General features: G+C 38.6%; 1 protein-coding gene across 5 annotated transcripts in view, besides 1 other annotated feature; it reads right to left on the minus strand.

The window, feature by feature from the left end:
• Positions 1-22,419, minus strand: part of FAF1 (Fas associated factor 1) — a 523,240-nt gene that overhangs the window by 206,903 nt on the left and 293,918 nt on the right. For all 5 annotated transcript variants that reach the window (NM_007051.3, XM_047442745.1, XM_047442743.1 and 2 more), the window contains one exon: positions 11,512-11,598. In NM_007051.3, the coding sequence (NP_008982.1) occupies positions 11,512-11,598 (87 nt within the window). The remainder of the gene's footprint in view (positions 1-11,511; positions 11,599-22,419) is intronic.
• Positions 14,439-14,956: an enhancer, noted in NCBI's record as "NANOG hESC enhancer chr1:51124041-51124558 (GRCh37/hg19 assembly coordinates)". NCBI's record gives its function as "activates a minimal SCP1, AML or CMV promoter by ChIP-STARR-seq in naive H9 embryonic stem cells {active_cell/tissue: H9 hESC(naive)}" and the evidence as "EXISTENCE:reporter gene assay evidence [ECO:0000049][PMID:30033119]".

Here is a 22,419-nt window from a genome sequence, read left to right on the forward strand (position 1 = left end):
TTTTATTATTTCCTCTTATGTTTTCACTTAAGTCCTTGAGCACTTTCATAGCATTTATAAAAGCTACTTTAAAGTCCATGTCTGCCAATTTCATTATCTAAGTAACTTCCATGTCTGTTTCTTTTGACTGACTTCTTTTCTGGTTATGGGTCAGATTTTCCTGCTTGTTCGTATGTGCAGTAACTTTTAATTGGATGCTGGACTTTGTTTTTAGAGGCAGTTACCTATTAATCAGCTTATTCCTTATTCAGGCTTCTTTTTAAGCTTTTAAAAAGTCCTGGAGTAGCCTTCATTCTAGGGCCAATTTATCCACTCCACTAAGGTGTTAACTCTTCTGAAGATAGCTACTGAATGCCCTGTGTATTCACTGAGGTGTCTCTACAATGTGTAGTTGGAAGAAACTTGAAGCAGTTTTAGTTTTGTGTAAACTCTGGGGATTGTTTACCTTATAGCTCCAGTTAACTACTCTTTTTCCTAACAATTTCTCTTTGCTTAGCCTTCTGGATTTTCACCCTATGCATGCACAGAGACTGGTATTCAGCTAAAGACTTGGGGAACCCCATGCAGATTTCTGGAGATTTTTCTCTGCTGGTAGTCTGCTTTGCAAAATATAGCCGCTGGAGCCTCCCAAAACTCCAATCTCTGTCCCTTCAACTCAGCGAAATTACCAAGTTCTGTTTTACTTTCCCTTTCCTGCTATGGGATCCAGAAGTTGCCTCCAGGCAGAATTTAAGACTCTCATAGAACTCTTGTTTCCTTCTTCAGAGTCCTGTTGGCTAATATCTGAAAACAGTTGTTTCATGTATTTTATCCTGTCTTGCAGTTGTTTACAGAGAGGGGGAAAATCCCAAAGCAGTTATCCCTTCATGGGCAGAAGCAGCAGTCTACAGGTTTGGGATTTTAATAAACTGAAATCAAGACCCACAGCATCAGGTCTTAGTGCTTGTAAGTTTCCAACTGGGGCTGTCTTGCTTCCATGTGTTCTTCTTCATATTTACTGAGCAAACATTTCCCTTGAGTGCTTCATCCACATTCCCAAACTTCTCACTCTTGTTCAGAATAGAATTCATTTCACAACTTTTCTTTTCTTTTAAACCCAAACTTTCTTCTACTGCTTTCAAAGCTGTTCTTTCCATCTGTTTAGTCTTTGCCTGTGTTATTTGCAAAAGACTCTATATGTTGACAAGGGCAATGAACCCTCTGAAGCTACTGAGTCTCACCACCATCAGAAGCAACATTATCCATGACCTTCCCAAATAATGAAAAAGTCAGTGAAAATGTCCAAAGATTGCCTGAATCTGTCTGCCCTAGGACAGGCTAACAAAGTAATTTAAATAGCATAAGATGACCCTGAAGCTATTCAAAGAATGCTTCTGATTCTGCATGTGTATGCAATATAAAGAAGGTGCTTACTCAAGGGAAAGAGAGTTAATGTTTGTTGAATGCCTACTAAATGCCAGACATTACACCAGGGGTTGGCAAACTTTCTCCGTAAAGGGCCAGACAGTAGATATTTCAGGTTTTGTGGGCCACATGGTCTTTGTTTGCAACTATATATCCCTGCTTATAGTGTGACAGCAGCTGTGGCACAGTACATTAAGAAATCAATGTGGCCAGGCGCTATGGCTCATGCCTATAATCCCAGCATTTGGGGAGGCCGAAGGCGGGGAGAACCTGAGGTCAGGAGTTTGAGACCAGCCTGGCCAACATGGTGAAACCCCGTCTCTACTAAAAATACAAAAATTAGCCAGGCGTGGTGGCACCTGCCTGTAGTCCCAGCTACTCTACTCGGGAGGCTGAGGAAGGAGAATCTCTTGAACCCAGGAGGCGGAGGTTGCGGTGAGCTGAGATCACGCCACTGCAGTCCAGCCTGGGGGACAGAGTGAGACTCCGTCTAAAAAAAGAAAAAAAAAAGGAAGAAAAAAAATAAATCGGTGTGAATGTGTCCCAAGAAAATACTATTGACAAAAACAGATGCTGAGTGAGATTTGGGCTCACAGTCATAACTGTCAACCCCTGCATTATATTATGTGCTTTACATATTAGATATAATTGTATGAAACTTCTAATCTGCAACCATTTTTGTCCCTAAAAAATGGCAACTTCATATGGTCCCACCTAATAATATGTTAACCCATGTAATCTTCACAATAGGTTTTCAAGTGTGTTAATATCATCTCCATTTTGTAGATAAAGAAACTGAAGCTCAAACATTAAGTAACATCTAAATAATAGTAATGTTAGGATTCAACAAACTTGGACTGGTTTGCTCAATTGCATTCTCCTCCACCTCCATTTCCTCTGCCTCCCACCCATACATATATACACACACACACATTGGTAAAAATCGGCTCACAATGTAGCTCTGCACACTCCTAAATCTGTTATTCTACTTGCTGCTATAAAATGCTTAGTTTTGATAACTTAATTTTTATTAGAAATAAATGATTCTCAAAATGTTTATCCAATTACTATACTCATACAAATCGATCCTTTAGTTGTTTATTGCCATAGATGTCAACTTTGTGGAGCACTGAACAATTTAAATAAATGAATGCAATTTAAATAAATGCCTAAAACACTCTTTGATATAAATGTGAAGACATTTCTTACTTCCAATGCTTATAATTTACAAAAGGAGGAATACAAGTATACAAATTAAAACATAATCAAATGTCCCTTTCACTGAGAAGTCATTTTTTCACTACCACTAACTGTTAGCAAAATTGGTTGTTCCCTCTTCTATGATCCCATTGCATTTATATACTTCAGTTGTCATTGTTTATATATGTCTCCCACCAAACTCATCAATCTCTGAGAAGCAAGATCTTATCATTGCAACTTTAAGGGCCAGCACAGTTACTGGCCTGTAAGAGTTGTTAAAGCGAACTAAATATGATCTCAGAAGGACTCTATTTCTTCTTCTTTCTTTTGAGACATAGTCTCGCTCTGTTACCCAGGCTGGAGTACAGTGGCATGCTCTTGGCTCACTGCAACCTCCGCCTCCTAGGTTCAAGCAATTCTTGTGTCTCAGCCTCCTGAGTGTCTGGGATCACATGTGTGAGCCACCACGCCCAGCTAATTTTTTTTGTATTTTTAGTAGAGACAGGGTTTCACCATGTTGGCCAGGCTGGTCTCAAACTCCTGGTCTCAAGCAATCCACCTGCCTCAGCCTCCCAAACCGCTGGGAGTATAGGCATGAGCCACCATGCCCAGCCTAGGGCTCCGGACTTCTACATTTGAGTCCTGGTGGAGGAAGCTTAACCTAACTTAATAGGTAGACAAGACTGAAAACCTAACTTATGAGCATATGCCTATAATAATAGTTAAGTCTTGGCCAATCTCAGCAGCCATTCTTCAACCACTGATACACTGCTAAATGTTCAAACTGTTTCCAAATAAGGCAAATGCCAACCTGTAACCAATACAGCTGTTTCTGTACCTCGCTTCTTTCTGTACGTCACTTTCCTTTTTTTGTCTATAAATTTGTTCTAACCACGAGGCATTCCTGGAGTCTCTCTGAATCTGCTATGATTCTGGAGGCTGCCAATTTGCGAATCATTTTTTTTTCTTGTTCAATTAAACTCTGTTAAATTTAATTTGTCTGAAGTTTTCTTTTAACAGAGTTGTTCCACAAATGTCAAGTGAATGAATAGATAGATTAAAACAATAAATAAAACACAGTAATAGCCAAAAGTCAACCATGTTAAGGCATTCTTTCTAGTACATACTACTTCAGTCTTCAAAATAAACCTAGCAGTAAGTATTCTTGTAACTACTGACTCTTTAATCTTCACAATAACTCTACGAGTTATTGTTCGACAGTTACGGAGACTGAGATCCATAGACATTAAGTTGCTTGTGGTGACCCAGATGAAGCCAGAGAGGAGGAAGGAAGGGAGAAATGAAGGAAACAAATAACAAAATAAGAAAAAAGTGAAAAAAACTTAAGTAGAAGAAGAGAACTATAAATGCATTTCTAAGAGGGTTGGAGAAGGCAGCACGGGAAGAAGGGCATAGGCAGGGTTTCTCAAAGAAAAGGTCTTGGCTGGGCGCGGTGGCTCACGCCTCCAATCCTGGCACTTTGGGAGGCCGAGGCAGGTGGATAACCTGAGGTCAGGAGTTAGAGACCAGCCTGGCCGACATAGTGAAACCCCGTCTCTACTAATAATACAAAAATTAGCTAGGCACAGTGGCACACGCCTGTAATCCCAGCTATGAGGAGGCTGAGGCAGAAGAATTGCTCGAACCCCGGAGACAGAGGTTGCAGTGAGCCGAGATCGTGCCATTGCACTCCAGCCTGGGTGACAAGAGTGAAACTCCGTCTCAAAACAAAACAAAACAAAACAAAACAAAAAAACAAAAAGGTCTTCAAGGAAGGAGATAATTGTTGTAGGTATTCTAGGTGGAAGGAAGAGTATGATTAAATGACAGAGTGGGAGAGTACCAAGTATATTCGAAAAATAGTAAGATAAGTATTTAGCTAAAGCTGAGACACATATGGTGTAATATTCAATCATTCATTCAACAAATATTTATCAAGTATTTACTCAGAGCCTGTATGGGAAAACAAACCTGGAAGGGAAGTTTCAGACTAAAGAATGAAGGGTTTTGAATGCCAGCATAAAAATCTGTACATAAAGGAGCCATTGAAAATAAGTAAGCAAGGCTGAATGTGATTCATGTTGTACTTCTATTTAGAAATATTAACTTTGGCTGGGCGCGGTGGCTCATGCCTGCAATCCCAGCACTTTGGGAAGCCGAGGTAGGCGGATCACCTGAGGTAGGAAGTTCAAGACCAGCCTGACCAACATGGAGAAGCCCCAGCTCTACTAAAAATATAAAATCAGCTGGGTGTGGTGGCGCATGCCTGTAATCCCAGCTACTCGGGAAGCTGAGGTAGGAGAATCACTTGAACCCAGGAGGCGGAGGTTGCGGTGAGCCAAGATCGTGCCATTGCACTCCAGCCTGGGTAACAAGAGCGAAACTCCATCTCAAAAGTTAGGGGGCCTGGCCCTAATTGTTTGTAACTTTAGTAGAGACAGGTTTCAATACGTTGGCCAGGCTGGTCTCGAACTCCTGACCTCGTGATCCGTCTGCCTTGGCCTCCCAAAGTGCTGGGATTACAGGTGTGAGCCACCGTGTCCAGCCTTCAGATTCATTTCTATTTAAGAGTGGGGTGGGGAGAGGGCTGTGTGCAGTTTTCATTTTATGTATTTATTCATTTTAATTTTTTTTTTTTTAGACAGAGTTTTGCTCTTGTTGCCCAGGCTGGAGTGCAATGGCGCAATCTCTCACTGCAACCTCCGCCTTCCGGGTTCAAGCAATTCTCTTGCCTCAGCCTCACAAGTAGCTGGGATTACAGGCATGCGCCACACACCTGGCTAATTTTGTATTTTCAGTAGAGATGGGGTTTCTCCATGTTGGTCAGGATGGTCTTGAACTCCTGACCTCAGGTGATCCACCCATCTTGGCCTCCCAAAGTGCTGGATTACAGGTGTGAGCCATTGTGCCTGGCTCTTTTTATTTTATATAAAAGCCACTGTGTAATGGTTTTACTTGTAAATTATTTCACATTCTCAATGTGAAAATATTTAATAAGTAGCTTTCTGAATCCTAACACACGCCCAAAGAGCTTTGATTCTAAAATTCCTAGTTTCTCAATTCTGAGTGAATATTTTGTGGCCAATGACAGAAATACAGAAGAGCATTAGTAATCAAGAAAGAAAAGTCTGGGCACAGTGCCTCATGCCTGTAATCCCAGCACTTTGACAGGCCGAGGCAGGTGGATCACAAGGTCAGGAGTTCAAGACCAGCCTGGCCAACTTATGAAACCGCGTCTCTACTAAAACTACAAAAAAAAAAAAAAAAGAAAAAGAAAAAAATTAGCTGGGTATGATGGCACGTGCCTGTAGTCCTAGCTACTCGGGAGGCTGAGGAGGGACAATTGCTTGAACCTGGGAGGTGGAGGTTGCAGTGAGCCAAGACCATGCCATTGCATTCTAGCCTGGGGGTGACAGAGTAAGACTCCGTCAAAGAGAGAGAGAGAGAAAGCACAATAATAAAGTATTAAGCTGGGCACGGTGGCTCATGCCTGTAATCCCAGCACTCTGGGAGGCCGAGGTGGGCGGATCACCTGAGGTCGGGAGTTCGAGACCAGCCTGACTAACATGGAGAAACCCCATGTCTACTAAAAATACAAAATTAGCCGGGCGTGGTGGTGCATGCCTGTAATCCCAGCTACTCGGGAGGCTGAGGCAGGAGAATCGTTTGAATCCGGAAAGCAGAGGCTGCGGTGAGCCGGGATCACACCATTGCACTCCAGCCTGTGCAACAAGAGCGAAACTCTGTCTCAAAAAAAAAAAAAAAAAAAAAGTAATAAAACTGAAAGAGTTGGCCGGGCACAGTGGCTTAGGCTTGTAATCCCAGCACTTTGGGAGGCCGAGGTGAGGATCACTTGAGGCCAAGAGTTCGAGGCCAAAAGTTCAAGACCAGCCTGGCCAACACAGCGAAACCCTGTCTCTACTAAAAATACAAAAATGAGCTGGGCATGGTGGTATACGCCTGTAATCCCAGCTACTTGGGATGCTGAGGCATAAGAATCACTTGAACCTGGGAGGCAGAGGTTGCAGTCAGCTGAGATCTCACCACCGCACTCCACCCTGGGTGACAGAGCAAGACTGTCTCAAAAAAATATATAAATAAAAATAAAAACAAAAAACTGAAAGAGTTTTCTTTGTATAAGCATTATTAAATCCAGGAATTTAAAAAGAACTACATGTATTCATATTGTCTGCATTGTAATAAGGTATCTAAACATAATTCACAGTGTTAAAATTATTTCTCCTATCTAGAAACCAAGAGCTTCCTTGTTAAAGTGTAAAATGAGATTTTGCCTACTTGTAACTCCTTGTTCTCACAGCTGAACTGTCACAGCATGAAAACATTTTCCTACTGGTAAAGCTTTAGATACCTATTTCCCTGATCAAAGAGTACAAAAGGAACGGAGTTACTGACAATTCATACAGTATCCCACACCCTATTCGAGTACAACCACAAGCAAAGAAAATACGTTAACTCTGAAGGGAGATGGGCAACAATGTTGTAAATGAGTGTTGACTTCACTGAGTAACCTGAAAATGCCCAAGACTGAAGTCTATTAGGTTCATAAGAGACTCAAGATTATAAAAGAATTGATTACAAGAGGTCTATTTCTTTCTCCTGTTGGGTGAGTCAAAGGTTAATGAGAAGTATACTGAACAAAACATCTCTTGTGTTACTGCAAAGTATTTCTCATGCAGGATAAAAATGTAAGTGAAAAAGTATTTTAATCTAGTTAATTAACTTCTTTTTTAAAAAAATAGCTTCACTGAGGCATAATTTATATGCCATAAAATTCACTCATTTTAAATGTTCAATTATTTTTTAAAACTTTAGAGATGTGCAACCTTTACCACAATCTAATTTTTAGAACATTTTCATCACCCCAAATCCATTAATTTCTTGATCTATGGTATTTTCATAAATTCACAGAATCCAATGATATCTAAGGCTACTGTATATTTAAAGCCACACAAATTTCTTCAACTGAGCAATAAAAGTACAAAATGACCTCACTTTTAATGACCTTTATAACCAATCCTCTACTCTGGCACTAGGAAGCAAATGTTCAGGTGCTTTCTCTGAAAGTTAAACCATTCTAAGTATTAAGTTATGGCACACTGTCTTGGAAAGAAATTAATTATATTTTTGTTGGTAACACATTTCAGGCTGTTTACACAGCTGACATTTCTCAGCTGTACCCAATTCATGCCCTAAGCTGTGAGGACTATTTTGTTTTGTAGCAGATGCCTCCACTTGAATGATTTCAGTAAGTATAAAAACACCACCGCCTGCAACAAATATAGACTACAAGTACCAGTTTTATGAGTTTTTATACTCCTAATGAAAAAGGTTTTACGACATATTATTTGGCCAGGATCTCCTCAGAATACTAGTTATAAGCCATTTTTGGCTAAATTCAAGCACTGGAGCTAGTGAATCTGCTGTGGCATCAGTTAAAAGCAGCCTGGCCCTAAACATCTTTGTTGTATCAAATCATGCAAGCTCAAGGCAACACCCTGCCAATGCCGCAACATTTGCTCTGGGGAGGTGTGGGCAGGCACCACTTCACAGGTTCTGGGACAAGGTGCAAATGGCAATAATGAGGCTAAAAGAATCAAGCCTCTTAATAGGGATTCCCTCTTGTGTTTGCTGTGACTTAAGAGCACCAAGTAGTATTACAGTCTTGGAAACAAACAGTTTTAGCTGCTTTCCATATTTTCCTATAGTAATTAGACTGCATGACAACTCTTTGGCAAAAAATTAAATGTTATAAAAACCATTAAAACATGGGTCTCATAAAAGACCATGCCAACTCAATTCAATGAATTAGCACCTAAAATGTATAAGGCACTATTTTACAGGCAGAAGAATTGATCATATTTCATCGACTTTGCCTATCATTCTTGGAACTTGTACCTGATAAGCCAATTTCAGTCTGGTTTCTACAAGGGTGGGGTGCAAAAGCAGTTGGCTTTTCCAACCCTGTGAAGCCCCACATTTCCAGAGTTTCTCTATTATCTTATGTCCCTGCTCTTAAACAAGACAACTATTTTTGCTTTAAACTTTTTATTATGAAAATTTTCAAATATATACAAAAGTTGAGAGAACAGTATAATAAACCCAATATATGTATCACCTAGATTCAACAATGATTGATAGATGCCTAATCTAAATTAGCTCTATCCTCACTCACTCTGCCACACATAGGTTATTCTGAAGCAAGTCTCAGACATCACTTCATTTCTTTAAACCAGCCAATTCTTGCCTGTAATTGTAATCTGTAATTACAATAACTTTTTTTGCAGTTATCTTAATTATAATGTCGACTCATTTACTGAGTGTCTACTATGAGCCAGGTACTGTATTTATATTATCACTTATCTTCATAATAGTTCTGCAAATTAGTGACAAAATTAAAGCTCAGAGAATTTAATGATATGCTCAGGTCTTAATTATCTTCTTCTATTAATATTACTATTTCTTGTAACAAGTTCTTAGACAATACTGAGAACATTTCTGTTTTCTTCATGCCTCCTCAGGTAAACAGTAGACCATCATGTATGAACATTATTCTTTTATTTTTGTAAAAATAAAGGTAGCACATTTTCTATCAAATTTCTCACTCAAGCAAGAAAAACAACAAAAAAAAAACCACAAGAAAACCACAAACACATCCCTATCCTTAGCCATAGATGACCAGCCAATAATTCTAATTATATACTATAACATCAATGCTAAAATCAGTTTTTCAGAAACAAATTTAAGCACCTAAACCTAAAGATTTTTTTTTCTGGAAGTGTTTATTAAAAATAAAGGGGCTTTTGTTTTTGTTTTTCAGATGGAGTTTTGCTCTTATTGCCCAGTGGAGTGCAATGGCACAATCTTGGCTCACTGCAACCTCCCCCTCCCAGGTTCAAGTGATCCTCCTGCTTTAGCCCCCCAAGTAGCTGGGATTAAAGTCACAAGCCACCACGCCCGGCTAATTTTGTATTTTTGGTAGAGACAGGGTTTCACCATGTTGGCCAGGCTGGTTTCAAACTCCTGACCTCGGCCAGGCACGGTGGCTCATGCCTGTAATCTCAGCACTTTGGGAGGCCGAGGCAGGCTGGTCACCTTAGGTCAGGAGTTCAAGACCAGCCTGGCCTACTTGGTGAAACTTCGTCCTTATTAAACATACAAAAATTACCCGGGTGTGGCGGCAGGCGCCTATAATCCCAGCTACTTGGGAGGCTGAGGCAGGAGAATCAATCGCTTGAACCCAGGAGGTGGAGGTTGCAATGAGCCAAGATTGTGTCATTGTACTCCAGACTGGGCGATAGAGCAAGATTCCAAGTCAAAAATAAATAAATAAACAAACTCCTGACCTCAGGTAATCCACCGGCTTCGGCCTCCCAAAGTGCTGGGATTACAGGTGTGAGTCACCGTGCCTGACCAAAAATAAAGGTTTTGCTATTTTCTGATTATTAAAGTTTCTGATTTTTAAAATTTCATAATCCACAAAGCATGTTCCAAAGGCATACTGTTTACATTGTAATTAGATTCAAGTAGCATCTACATAAATTGTCTTAAAACTTTTCTGTCTTCCACAAAGAATTCTTTTATATTAAAATATATAGTGGTGATGCTGGAAGAGGAGTGAACTGTAGTTATTATCCAGGCAGAAACATAATATTTACTAGAAAATGTTAAAAGATAATTCAATTCCTAGGCATAATCATTATTTCAGTATTGATCATTACAAGATGTTTACAAAGTCCCAATTTCTTTTTAGCCCTATTTATTTTAAAAATTAGATGTAACTTGAGATTTCCAGAAACATTCTCATTTTTACTTTTACTTTTTAAAAAAACTTAGGTATCTGGTTAGAATAAGCAAGTTTATGGGGAAAAGTGGCCAAAACTGAATTTCAGATGGCCTCCTTATATAATGAAATTTACTCTCATAGAAAACAGCAATGAGTGGAAATGACAGAGATAGGAAAGGCTTCAAACATTTACAATAAGGAAATCATTATAAAATATATAATAAGGGTAAAAATGACAGACATTTTCTTCCAGCTTCTTATGGTAGCAAAATTTATGGGTATGTTTGAGATTAAAGTGTTATTAACTATAAAAATTAACTTTTAAGTATCAGTCTACTATGAAAAAGGTAGTTTTAAAATTAAATATAATGATTAGCTTGATTTTGAAATATCTGTAATTTAGGAAAGAAAATGTTTTTGCCTTGAACATTTCATTAGTAGTATCTGAATATATTCTTCTCATCAAGAAAAAAACTAAGTCAAAGTCAAATCCAGCAGCATCAAATTTTTGCATTGATACTGTAACATTACCAACAGAATGTTGACCTGCTTGGCTTGTGATATCTGTTCTAAAAGTGAACTCAAATTATTACAACTTCTCTTACTTTCACATTGCTTGGTTTTAGATATTTCTTTTTTTTTTTTTTTTGAGATGGAGTTTCGCTTTTGTCGCCCAGGCTGGAGTGCAATGGCGCAATCTCGGCTCACTGCAACCTTCACCTCCCAGGTTCAAGTGATTCTCTTATCTCAACCTCCTGAGTAGTGGGATTAGAGGCGGCCGCCAAGTGATTCTCTTATCTCAACCTCCTGAGTAGTGGGATTAGAGGCGGCCGCCACCATGCCCAGCTAATTTTTGTGTTTTCAGTAGAGATGGGGTTTCACCATGTTGGCCAGGTTGGTCTCAAACTCCTGACCTCAGGTGATCCACACGCCTCAGCCTCCCAAAGTGCTGGGATTACAGGCATGAGCCACCGTGCCTGGCTAGATAATTCTTTCAATGGAAGACTCAAAGCATTTAATTGTGCTTATTATCAAAGCCAATTAGACTGAAAGTGGCAAAAGAGAAAGGAGGATATAAAACTGAAAATTTGACTGTCACTTACTGAGTCGTCTGTAGCAGAAGTTGGCCAGCCCTCCCATAATTGGTGGCGAACGGGGATACTTGTAAGGTCATACACATTTCTCTTTACCTATGAAAAGAAAGAAACAGGACAATTAAAATAGAATTTTCACATGACTTACAGTTTCCAATCAATTTATGAGACATACAGTGTATTTCTTGTTTTCTTCTAGATTCAAAACAAGAATTTGAAACTATAAAAACCCAAGTCAAAAAATTTTGTAAAAAAGAACAAAATCAAATTTAAAAGCAGATTCTCAATGAAGACTAGATGAAATAAGAGTTAAGAAATATCCTCCCTCTCTTGTTTTCAACTCCTGGCTGACTTCATTTCTTTTCAGTCAAGAAACTTCAGGCACCCAGTTCACTAAGGGCAAAGTACGATTATACATTTTTATAATTTATTTAATCGTAAAAATGCACAATGATTCAAAACCAAAAACATATATTTCAAGTTTCTATGTGGAATAGTGAAGGGTAGTGGGGTTTTATTGAAGGGCAAGGGGGGCAGGGGAGGAAAAACCTAAAATTGTCTTCATATTTTTTATGTAAGTTTCAAAGATACAGAAACTTATTATTAAAGTAGCACAGGGCCGGGGACGGTGGCTCACACCTGTAATCCCAGGACGTTGGGAGGCCAAGGCAGGTGGATCACCTGAGGTCAGGAGTTCGAGACCAGTCTGGCCAACATGGTGAAACCCCATCTTTACTAAAAATACAAAAAATTAGCCAGGCGTGGTGGCGGTGCCTATAATCCCAGCTACTTGGGAGGCTGAGGCAGGAGAATCGTTTGCATCCGGGAAGCGGAGGTGGCGGTGAGCTGAGATCATGCCACTGCACTCCAGCCTGGGCAACAGAGTGAGACTCCATCTCCCTACCACCGACCAAAAAAAAAAAAAAAAGTAGCACACGTTATTTTTTTGAAATCAATCCAAATTAAAAACTATTTCATGTAATATTTACTAATATCAGAGCTATAGGCCCTTCCTGAAAATTAAATACAAAAAATGCATTAAAGATGAGAAACTATTTTTCCCAACATGCAACATTATACCTTTTACTTTGAAAGGAAAGGAGGTAAACTTATCAGAATAAAGTGTTGGAAGGTTAAACTCTACGTCAGCCAGTAATTAAGAAGTGTTGGCTAGGCATGGTGGCTCACGCCTGTAATCCTAGCACTTTGGGAGGCCGAGGTGGGCAGATCACTTGAGGTCAGGTGTTCAAGACCAGCCTGGCCAACATGGCAAAACCTTGTCTCTATGAAAAATACAAAAATTAGCCAGGTGTGGTGGTGTGTGCTTGTAATCCCAGCTACTCGGGAAGCTGAGGCAGGAGAATGGCTTAAACCCAGGAGGCAGAGGCTGCAGTGAGCTGAGATCGTGCCACTGCGCTCCAGCCTGGGCATCAGTGCGAGACTCTGTCTCAAAAGAAAATAATAAAAATAAAAATAAAATAAAATAAAAGAAGTGTTACTGGGCGTGGTGGTTCACATCTGTAATCCCAGAATTTTAGGAGGTCAAGGTACAAGGATCACTTGAGCTCAGGAGTTCAAGATGAGCCTGGGCAACATAGTGAGACCACATTTCTACCAAAAAATAACAAAATTAGCTAGGCATGGTGGCTCATGCCTGTAGTCCCCACTACACAGGAAGCTGAGGTGGGAGGATTGTTTGAGTCCAGGAAGTTGAGGATACAGTGAGCCATGATCATGCCACCGCACTCCCACCTGGCAGACAGAGTGAGACCCTGTCTCAAAAAAAAGAAAAAAGCAGTATGTCTCTCTTCAGGGTTTTTTTTTTCTATTTTAGTTTTTATTCACAAATAACGAATCATAATAATGGAGAGATTATCCATTTTAATTAATTCTTCAAGTTAATTATGGCATTATTATCCTACTGTATCAAATGAAGTTAGGATTGAAATGCTCCCCATCATATGTTCTATGTTAAGACTTGAGGCCAGGCATGGTGTCTCATGCCTGTAATCCCAACCCTTTGGGAGGCCAAGCTGGGAAGATCAGTTGAGCCCAGCAGATAGAGGCAGCAATGAGCCACGACTGTGCCACTGAACTCTGGGTGACACAGTGAGACCCTGTCTCAAAAAACAAAACAAAACCCAAAAACTTCAATAGGGTTCTTCATACTTCAACAAGCATCATGCATTTATGTTTTAAAAATGCAGAAGCCTAAAGTATCATGTTGTCCAATTATAGCATTTTGTTTTCACATTACCCTTTCTTATACATAATCACATCTAAGTTACCATTCCAGTGAAATAGAGATACTAGTTCACTACGGAAAGGAGAAACAAAAAATAAAACAAAAACACAGAACTCACTCTATTTTTATCTCTAATTCACACCTGTGGAAAAATGACTTAGTAAATGAGATCTGAGGAGCTTGGGGAATGGCTTGATCTGTACTCAATTCAAACAAACAGGTTTTCTTTAGAGGTTCTTAGCAAATGGCTAGTCTACCATGCAATATTTTGTTTATAGTCAGTCACATCATTTGGAAATTTTTATCAGTCATTATCAACCCAACAATTTAACCAAATGCAATTGGGTTAACCTCTAACCACTTTCACTAGCTGTTATTATTTTGTCATTTTTAAACATTAGTGTTCTTAACGAGAAAGGTGTTCCACAAACCGAGAGTGTTACGTTAATAAAAGATGAAGGATAGAAGAGGGAGTATGAGGAGTCTTTAGGCTTCAAGACAAAATAATTTCTTAAAACTATTTCTTAAAATAATTAAGAAATTATTACTTTGAAATAATTTCTTGAAATTATTTTTCATTATGTTATCTAGATATAACCAACCTTATCAGCTATTTTTGAAAAAAAGCAGGACAAATATTTACATCCTTTTGGAAAGGCCGCAAAGCTACCCTAGCATTGTAAAGTACACACAAATACTATAAGTATACAAACAAATAACTTTGGAGTGGGATTCTTTGAATTCCACCTTAATTCCAAAATACAACAATAAAGTATTATGAAATAAACAGTATTTTCTTTTTTCATTAACTCATCTGTAACTGCACTGAATTGAATAACATTCCTTTGCTATTCTAAGCCTGAAAAGCATGTCCTGGCTATAGTGTTATGTTGGTATTAAGCACAACGCCAGACTGATGTGCTGAACAAAAGTGATCAAAGTCAGAGTAATGTTAGCCATTGCACAAGTATTTGGCTTCATTGTTCTCCCCAGAATGACATCTGTTAAGCAACTTGTCATAGAATAAACTGGCTAATGCAGACAGAACTTGGCTGAGAGAGTCCCATGTAAAGCATATTAGGCTAATGTTTGATTGTTCCAATGCAAAGGCTAAATTCACAGAGTATTCTGAGTTTAAACTAAAAGAATCTTATGTTGAACCACAATCACTAAACAACAATTTAGTGTTTTTCAAAAATAATTCCATGCATACCAATGCTGTTACCATACGTAGATGTTACCAGTATATGGATGAAGCACAAGTGATAAGATAGCAAAAGCATCAAAAGAGTGGGGATTTTACTAATAGATTACAATTCCATTTTCTTTATTGATGGTTATATTTAATAAAAAATTGAAATCATAATCCTGCAGGGAAGAAAAAAATCCAAAATGTACACAAAACATAAAAACGATTCTGAAAAAAGTTAGTATTCTAGGAAACCTCAATGATAAAATACAGCTTTGTATAAAATGATACAGATGAATTTAAAGTCATCATGGATCAGATGAAGGACACAGTTCTTTCAGAGAAGGAGGGAAGATGAAGAAATATGAGGAAGAAAGAGGGAGGGGGAAGGGAAAGGGAGAAGAAGGGGAAAAGGGAAAAGGAGGAAAGAGAAGAGAGGAAGATGGAGGGTAAAGAGATAGGGAGAAATAGATGATAGGGAAAGAAAGAAGAGAGGGAAGTGAGAAAGAGAGGGGGAAGGACACTGATTGATTTGGGACTTGAGAGCACTTTAGAGAAGTAAAAAGAACACACGCACAGGCTGGGGTGCAGTGGCTGGCATGCCCAGCTGCCAATATTGTGTTGCTTCTGACGGAGTTTCATCTTTAGAGTATGTTAAATTCCAGTTAAGGACAAGTGGCACTTCACAGGGTAACATTTCCTAAGGGCCTTTTTGTCTTACACATTTTTTTTTTGATCAGCATTGGCTCAAGATCATGCTGAACCTTCATGATCTTTTCAATTCTTGTTTTACATGCAAATGTTTCAATTAGTTCAGGAGGAATTTAATAAATGCTTTGATTACCAGCTGAACATTAAACTTACATTACAAACTATACTGTATTTGGATCTAGAGTTCTAGATTGACAACAGATTTTCTAATTTGCATTCAAGATTTTCTAAAGGTATAGTTTAATTTCTTCCATATCGTTTCAGATAAGACAATCGTTTGCAACTGAGAAAATATATAAATCAGGTTAATTTTTAATAGTATAGAATTAATATGGTACTGATTTGTTTCCTTATTTGTCATTGCTAATAAACACCTGTTTATATACTATAATTAATGTGAAAAACTAAGTAATAATCTCTACTTCAAACTTCATACTTCCTCAATGTCTGTGGGAATTTCAACGCTAAACACAGCACTGGGGGAAAGATCATTTCATTATAAGCTACTCAATATAAAATTATAAAAGTACCTTCATAACATATTCATCTCCCACAAACTTTTCTTTTGATTCATTTAAATTTTCAAACAGTTTTATTTTTTAGTTAAATTTCATCAGAATTTCTTAGGAAAGTAATTCTTAGGAAAAGTTGCTCTGCTAAAGGCTAAACCATGAAGCTCAGATTAGCCTCAAATGAGTTGTTCTAAACTATTTTTATATTGAAAAATATAAAATTCAGTAGATAACATTCTCAGTTATAATAAAACCATTCCTTGTGAGCTAAATATCTATCAAACTATTGAAAAACTTTTAGGGAATTTTAAATGTCATTCAGGTATTATTCTCGTGAAAGCAAACTAATAAAAAAGTCACAAAGTTTAAGGTGTTGCGGCATACCTCGAGGCAGAGAACTAGATTTCTTTCTTTTTTTTTTTTTCCCAAGACAGTCTTGCTCTGTCGCCCAGGCCAGAGTGCAGTAGGTTCTCGGCTTACTGCAACCTCCACCTCCTGGATTCAAGCGATTCTCCTGCCTCAGCCTCCTGAGTAGCTGGGATTACAGGAGTGTGCCACCACACCTGGCTAATTTTTGTATTTTTAGTAGAGACGGGGTTTCACCATGTTGGCCAGGCTAGTCTCGAGCTCCTGACCTTGTGATCTGCCCACCTTAGCCTCCCAAAGTGCTGGAATTACAGGCGAGCTACCTTACCCAGCCAGAGAACTAGATTTCTAATCCTAGTTCTGCTCAACTGTTACTGTGGGAAAATTGGTGGAGCCATTCTGAGACCTCATGTACTCCACCTTAGAAGAGAATAAAACATGATCGTTTCTGATTTTCAAAGCTCCAAAATGTTATTATTTCGTGAAAATACTGGAGTTAATCCTAGGTACAGGAAAAGAGGTGCTAAACATATACAAGACAAGGAAGTAATGAGAGAAAATTTAAAACTATTAATGCTACAAAATGGAGAAACAATAGAAAAAAATATAACAGACATCAAAAAGAAAAATGGCAAATAATTTCACATGAGAAATAAAGATAATAAGCATTTTAGTACTTTTTTTTGCATGAGATTTGGCATTTACTTTTATTATACTTTTTAAAAAACACTAATATTTTCCCCTTATGAGATCTCATTTAAAAATAAAGCCTGTCACACTGGTTTCCCAGAAAACTATTCTATCAATCTAATGTCATCAAAGTGGTTATATGATTTTGCCAGAACGCTACTGTGATATAGTTTTCAAGTTTTATTAATTTATCTCAACATTTAAAATTTTTTGAAATCTGGCCCACGATTCTTCACATATCAAACATTTTGATATGGCAAAATACAAAAACAAAATGTTCAGTAATCAGTGCTTTAGTTTCTAGATTTTCTGAATTAAGATACTATCGCACATCATAGTACAGCCCTTACAAAAAAGTACCCTGAAACTACAGCCATCCATCTCATTCTTTTATCATTCTTAGAAGAAAAAGGACTCTGGTCATATGAAAACCTGAGCTTAGACCGAATTTTAAATATATCAAACTTAAGCTCCCAGTGCATCGCATTATCAGATGTTCTGGTTAAGAGTTTGTTAAATAACTGCATTGAGCAAATAAGTATTTGTATGTGTGTGTGTTTAAATCAAAATAAGGCATACAAACTAGGCTTAATTCCAGTATCCTAGCAATCACTGGCACTCTGAAAGGCTTATAGTTAAGAAAGCAGTCACTTCTGAATCAGAAGTGATTCAGAATGCGTTCTGAACACATACTTCATACCTAAGGCCTTCTTTTCCTCTTGTTTTTAAAAGTATTGTATACACGTTGCAGTTGCACATGGATTTGTTTTACTAAGATGCAAGTTAAAACCCTCCTTAAAATCCTTTCTGAACAAAAAACGCTTGAAACCGGATGGTGCAAGGGGAATGAGAAGGTGGCATCAGTAATCAAATGTTAATTAGCAAGCTTTTTTTTTCTTCCCCCTTCCCCCAGGGCTGGCCTGTGTTGGAGAATTCAAATCAGAAATCAATGCTCTAAGTGTTTAACTATTACTTCTTCTCATTAACCATTAAAAAGACCAAGCTATTCTCTCCTCATAAAAACAGTAACTGGAGACATTTCTTTTTCTCAAATACTATCTTTCCAGAAAACAATGAAGATCTGTTTCAAGAAATCTATAAAATTGAAGTTGCTTTCAATCAGGCTTTGAACTGACTGGATTCTGCAGTTTTAAAAAATCTTTTGCCTCTAAATGAATTCTTCATTCTAATAACTGTAACTTAGTTTTGCTTTGTACCATACTTTAAAAACTTATTTCAACTCTTACTTGGCTATAAAGAAATTTGACAATTGCCTTTCTAAGAGATTACTAGGATGATGATAGTAAAGTTAATCAAATATGTAAACTAATTTAAATATATTAAGTTGGAGACGGATTTTGGCCATCCTGAAACACTACCCAGCATAAGATTTAACACTTCCATGGGTAACATGGTTATGTTGATAATTTCCTATACTAAAAGTCTGATGTGGGTGAAAGCAACTTGACAATTGCAAAGTTAGATATTATTTAAAGTAACAACTAATAATCACACATTTATTAAAATGAATTTGTATCTTTTTTTTTTTTTTTTTTTTTTTTTTTTTTGAGACGGAGTCTCCCTCTGTCGCGCCCAGGCTGGAGTGCAGCGGCGGGATCTTGGCTCACTGCTGCTAGCGCCGCCTCCCGGGTTCACGTCATTCTCCTGCCTCAGCCTCCCGAGTAGCTGGGACTGCAGGCACCCACTAGCGCGCCCGGCTAATTTTTTGTATTTTTAGTAGAGATGGGGTTTCACCATTCACAGGATGGTCTCCATCTCCTGACCTCGTGATCCGCCCGCCTTGGCCTCCCGAAGTGCTGGGATTACAGGCGTAAGCCACCACCCAGCCATGAATTTGTATCTTTAGTAAAAGGTCAAACCTGGATTTTACGATAAAAGACAATTCCTAAAGTGCTAAGAAAATGTTTATAGATGAGAAAAGCTAAACATATTTCACAAATTAAAAAGAAGCTAAATTTTAGAAGCTTTCTGAAAAACACAAGTTTATAGAAACTGTGAAGTTGCAGGGATTATAACTGAAAAAAAAGGTTAATTATTTTTCTACAACAGTGGTTCTTAAAGAGGGTGGCTGGACCAGGTATTAGTATCACCTGGAAACTATCAGAAATGCAAATTCATGGGCCCCACCACAGACCTAGTGTATAGAACACTCTGAGTGCCCAGCAATCTCTGTTTTAATAAGCTCTTTAGATAACTCTTACCAAGATAAATTTTAAGAAGCATTGCTTTTTTTTAAATTTTAATTTCAATTTTTTTTTTTTTTTTTTGAGACAGAGTCCAGGCTGGAGTGCAATGGCACAATCTCAGCTCACTGCAACCTCCGCCTCCCAGGTTCAAGCGATTCTTCTGCCTCAGCCTCCCAACTACCTGGGACCACAGGCACATGCCACCACACCCGGCTAATTTTTGTATTTTTTTAGTAGAGACAGGGTTTCACCGTATTGGCCAGGCTGGTCTCGAACTCCTGACCTCGTGATCCACCCACCCTGGCCTCCCAAAGTGCTAGGATTACTGGCGTGAGCCACCGCGCCCGGCCAGAAGCACCGCTTTAGAATGTGCAAATAATATATAGGCTCTTCCAGAGAGCCATGCCTCTCAAGTTTACTGATACTAAAATTCTTTGAACTCTGCCTAAGGTGGCCAGTCACTTTTGAGAATAAATATAATTAATAATCATTTGTTACAGAAATTCTAAAAATGTTGCAATTTCATTTGGATGATGTGATTTTATTAGCCTAAGAAATTAATGAGAGAAGATACTACCTCTTTACTACAGACTTCATTGCATTCTCAGTTTAATCTAAATTTCTGCTAATTGAAAATCTGTTAATCTTTTTTTTTTTTTTTTTTTAGACAGAGTCTCGCTCTGTCACCAGGCTGGAGTGTAGTGACGCGATCTTGGCTCACTGCAACTTCTGCCTCCGGGGTTCAAGCAATTCTCCTGCCTCAGCCTCCCGAGAAGCTGGGATTACAGGAATGTGCCACCATGCCCAGCTAATTTTTGTGTTTTTAGTAGAGACGAGGTTTCACCATGTTGGCCAGGATGGTCTCGATCTCTTGACCTCGTGATCCGCCCACCTCAGCTTCCCAAAGTGCTGGGATTACAGGCATGAGCCACTGTGCCCGGCCAATCTTTAGTTTTTCTGTCTCAAGCTTAAGTGTGACTGCTTCCTGGTCATAATACATATTTGGAACTTGCAGTAAACCTGCAAACTCACAATAAATGACCTATTGGTCTCACTAAATAAACTTGGAAGATATCTATATATGTCAGATAAACTGAAGAAATGTCCCTAACCACTAGAGAACTATGTTTGAGCCATATAAAACAACTAAACAGAAGGCTGGGGGCGGTGGCTCATGCCTGTAATCCCAGCACGCTGGGAGGCCAAGGTGGGTGGATCACGAGGTCAGCAGATCGAGACCATCCTGGCTAACACGGTGAAAACCTGTCTCTACTAAAAATACAAAAACAAAATTAGCCAGGCATGGTGGCGGGCGCCTGTAGTCCCAGCTACTCAGGAGGCTGAGGTGGGAGAATAGCGTGAACCCAGGAGGCGGAGCTTGCAGAGAGTCGAGATCGCGCTACTGCACTCCAGACTGGGCGACAGAGCGAGACTCCGTCTCAAATAAACAAACAAACAAACAAACAAACAAACAGGTTATGTTTTCCTATCGTAGGCTAGCTGAAACAAGGCCCAAAAGAAATAGGTTAGTTTCCTAACAGTCAGACAAGACCTTGTCACGAAGGGCAATATTTCCTCTGTACACTTTATGGAAACAGTGAGGGAACAATACTTTTCCAATTATTTAATGGCTTAGTAAATAATATGAAAAAAATGTTTCTTACAGCCTGCAATAAATAAAATTACAATCACTCAATAAAAGCTCTTAAAATCTCATTTAAAAATCAAGTAAATTAATCAATTTATAATTCTTTCCAGGAAGGAAAACACCAATTAAGCCCAGTCAATTTTAGAAATAACTGGAACAATTATAGAAACATTTTTAGGAATTTTACTTTAACCTAACACCATTTTGTGAAATTCAATTTTATATAACACTTTAAAGATTGGACACATGAATCAAGAAATACTGTGGACCTGAAATGTTTTGATTTTTAAATCTGAATTTTAGTAGTCAATCTGATACAATGTCAGAAGCAATATACTAGTTAATCTTAAAGACATAATCATACCTGTAACCAAATATTTCGCTACAAGGATATTCATTGCAGCCTTGTTTATCATCACACAAAATCATATCAAAACACAAAATTGGCATAATCTAATATCCAATAATGTAACAGTTAAATAAATAAAATACTGTGCGGTTATTAAAGTGATGAACCAGCATCAGCAAAGCAGAGCCCAGAGGTCAAATCCAGTCTACTGTCTGTTTCTGTCCATAAAGTTACACTGGAACACAGCCACATCCATTTGTTTACATATTTTCTCTGGCTGTTTTTGCACTACCAAGATAGCAGAGTTGAGTACATGTAACAGAGACTGCATGGCCTAAAAAGCCCAAAATAGGAATTATCTGTCTCTTCCCAGAAAAAAATTTGCTGACCCCTAATATGGAAGAATATTTGGTTATATAAAAAGTTGTTACGTGATCTTTTTAAAAACCAGGTTACAAAATAATATGCATCTCTGTTTAAGTTATGTCTGTATAAGTATAGGTACATATGTATGCATACCATATGTATGCACAGAAAAAAGATCAGGCCAGGTGCAGAGGATCACACCTGTAATCCCAATATTTTGGGAGGTCAAGGTGGGCGGATCCCTTGAGGTCAGAAGTTCAACACCAGTCTGGCCAACATGGTGAAACCCTGTCTCCACTAAAAATACAAAAATTAGCTAGGCGTGGTGGTGCATCCTGTAATCCCAGCTACTCAGGAGGTGAGACACAAGAATTGCTTGAACCTGGGAGGCAGAGGTTGCAGTGAGCCCAGATCAAAAAAAAAAAAAAGACCAGGTGATCTGCCCGCCTTGGCCTCCCAAATTGCTGGGATTACAGGCATAAGCAACCGCGCCCGGCTGGACACTTTTTTTGTGTTGAGACAGTGTCTTACTCTGTCACCCAGTTGGAGTGAAGTAGGGCCATCACAGCTCACTGCAGCCTGGATCTCCTGGGCTGATAAGATCCTCCCAACTCAGCCTTCTGAGTGACTACAG

Source organism: Homo sapiens, chromosome 1 (assembly GCF_000001405.40).
Source record: "Homo sapiens chromosome 1, GRCh38.p14 Primary Assembly".
Taxonomy (NCBI): Eukaryota; Metazoa; Chordata; class Mammalia; order Primates; family Hominidae; genus Homo; species Homo sapiens.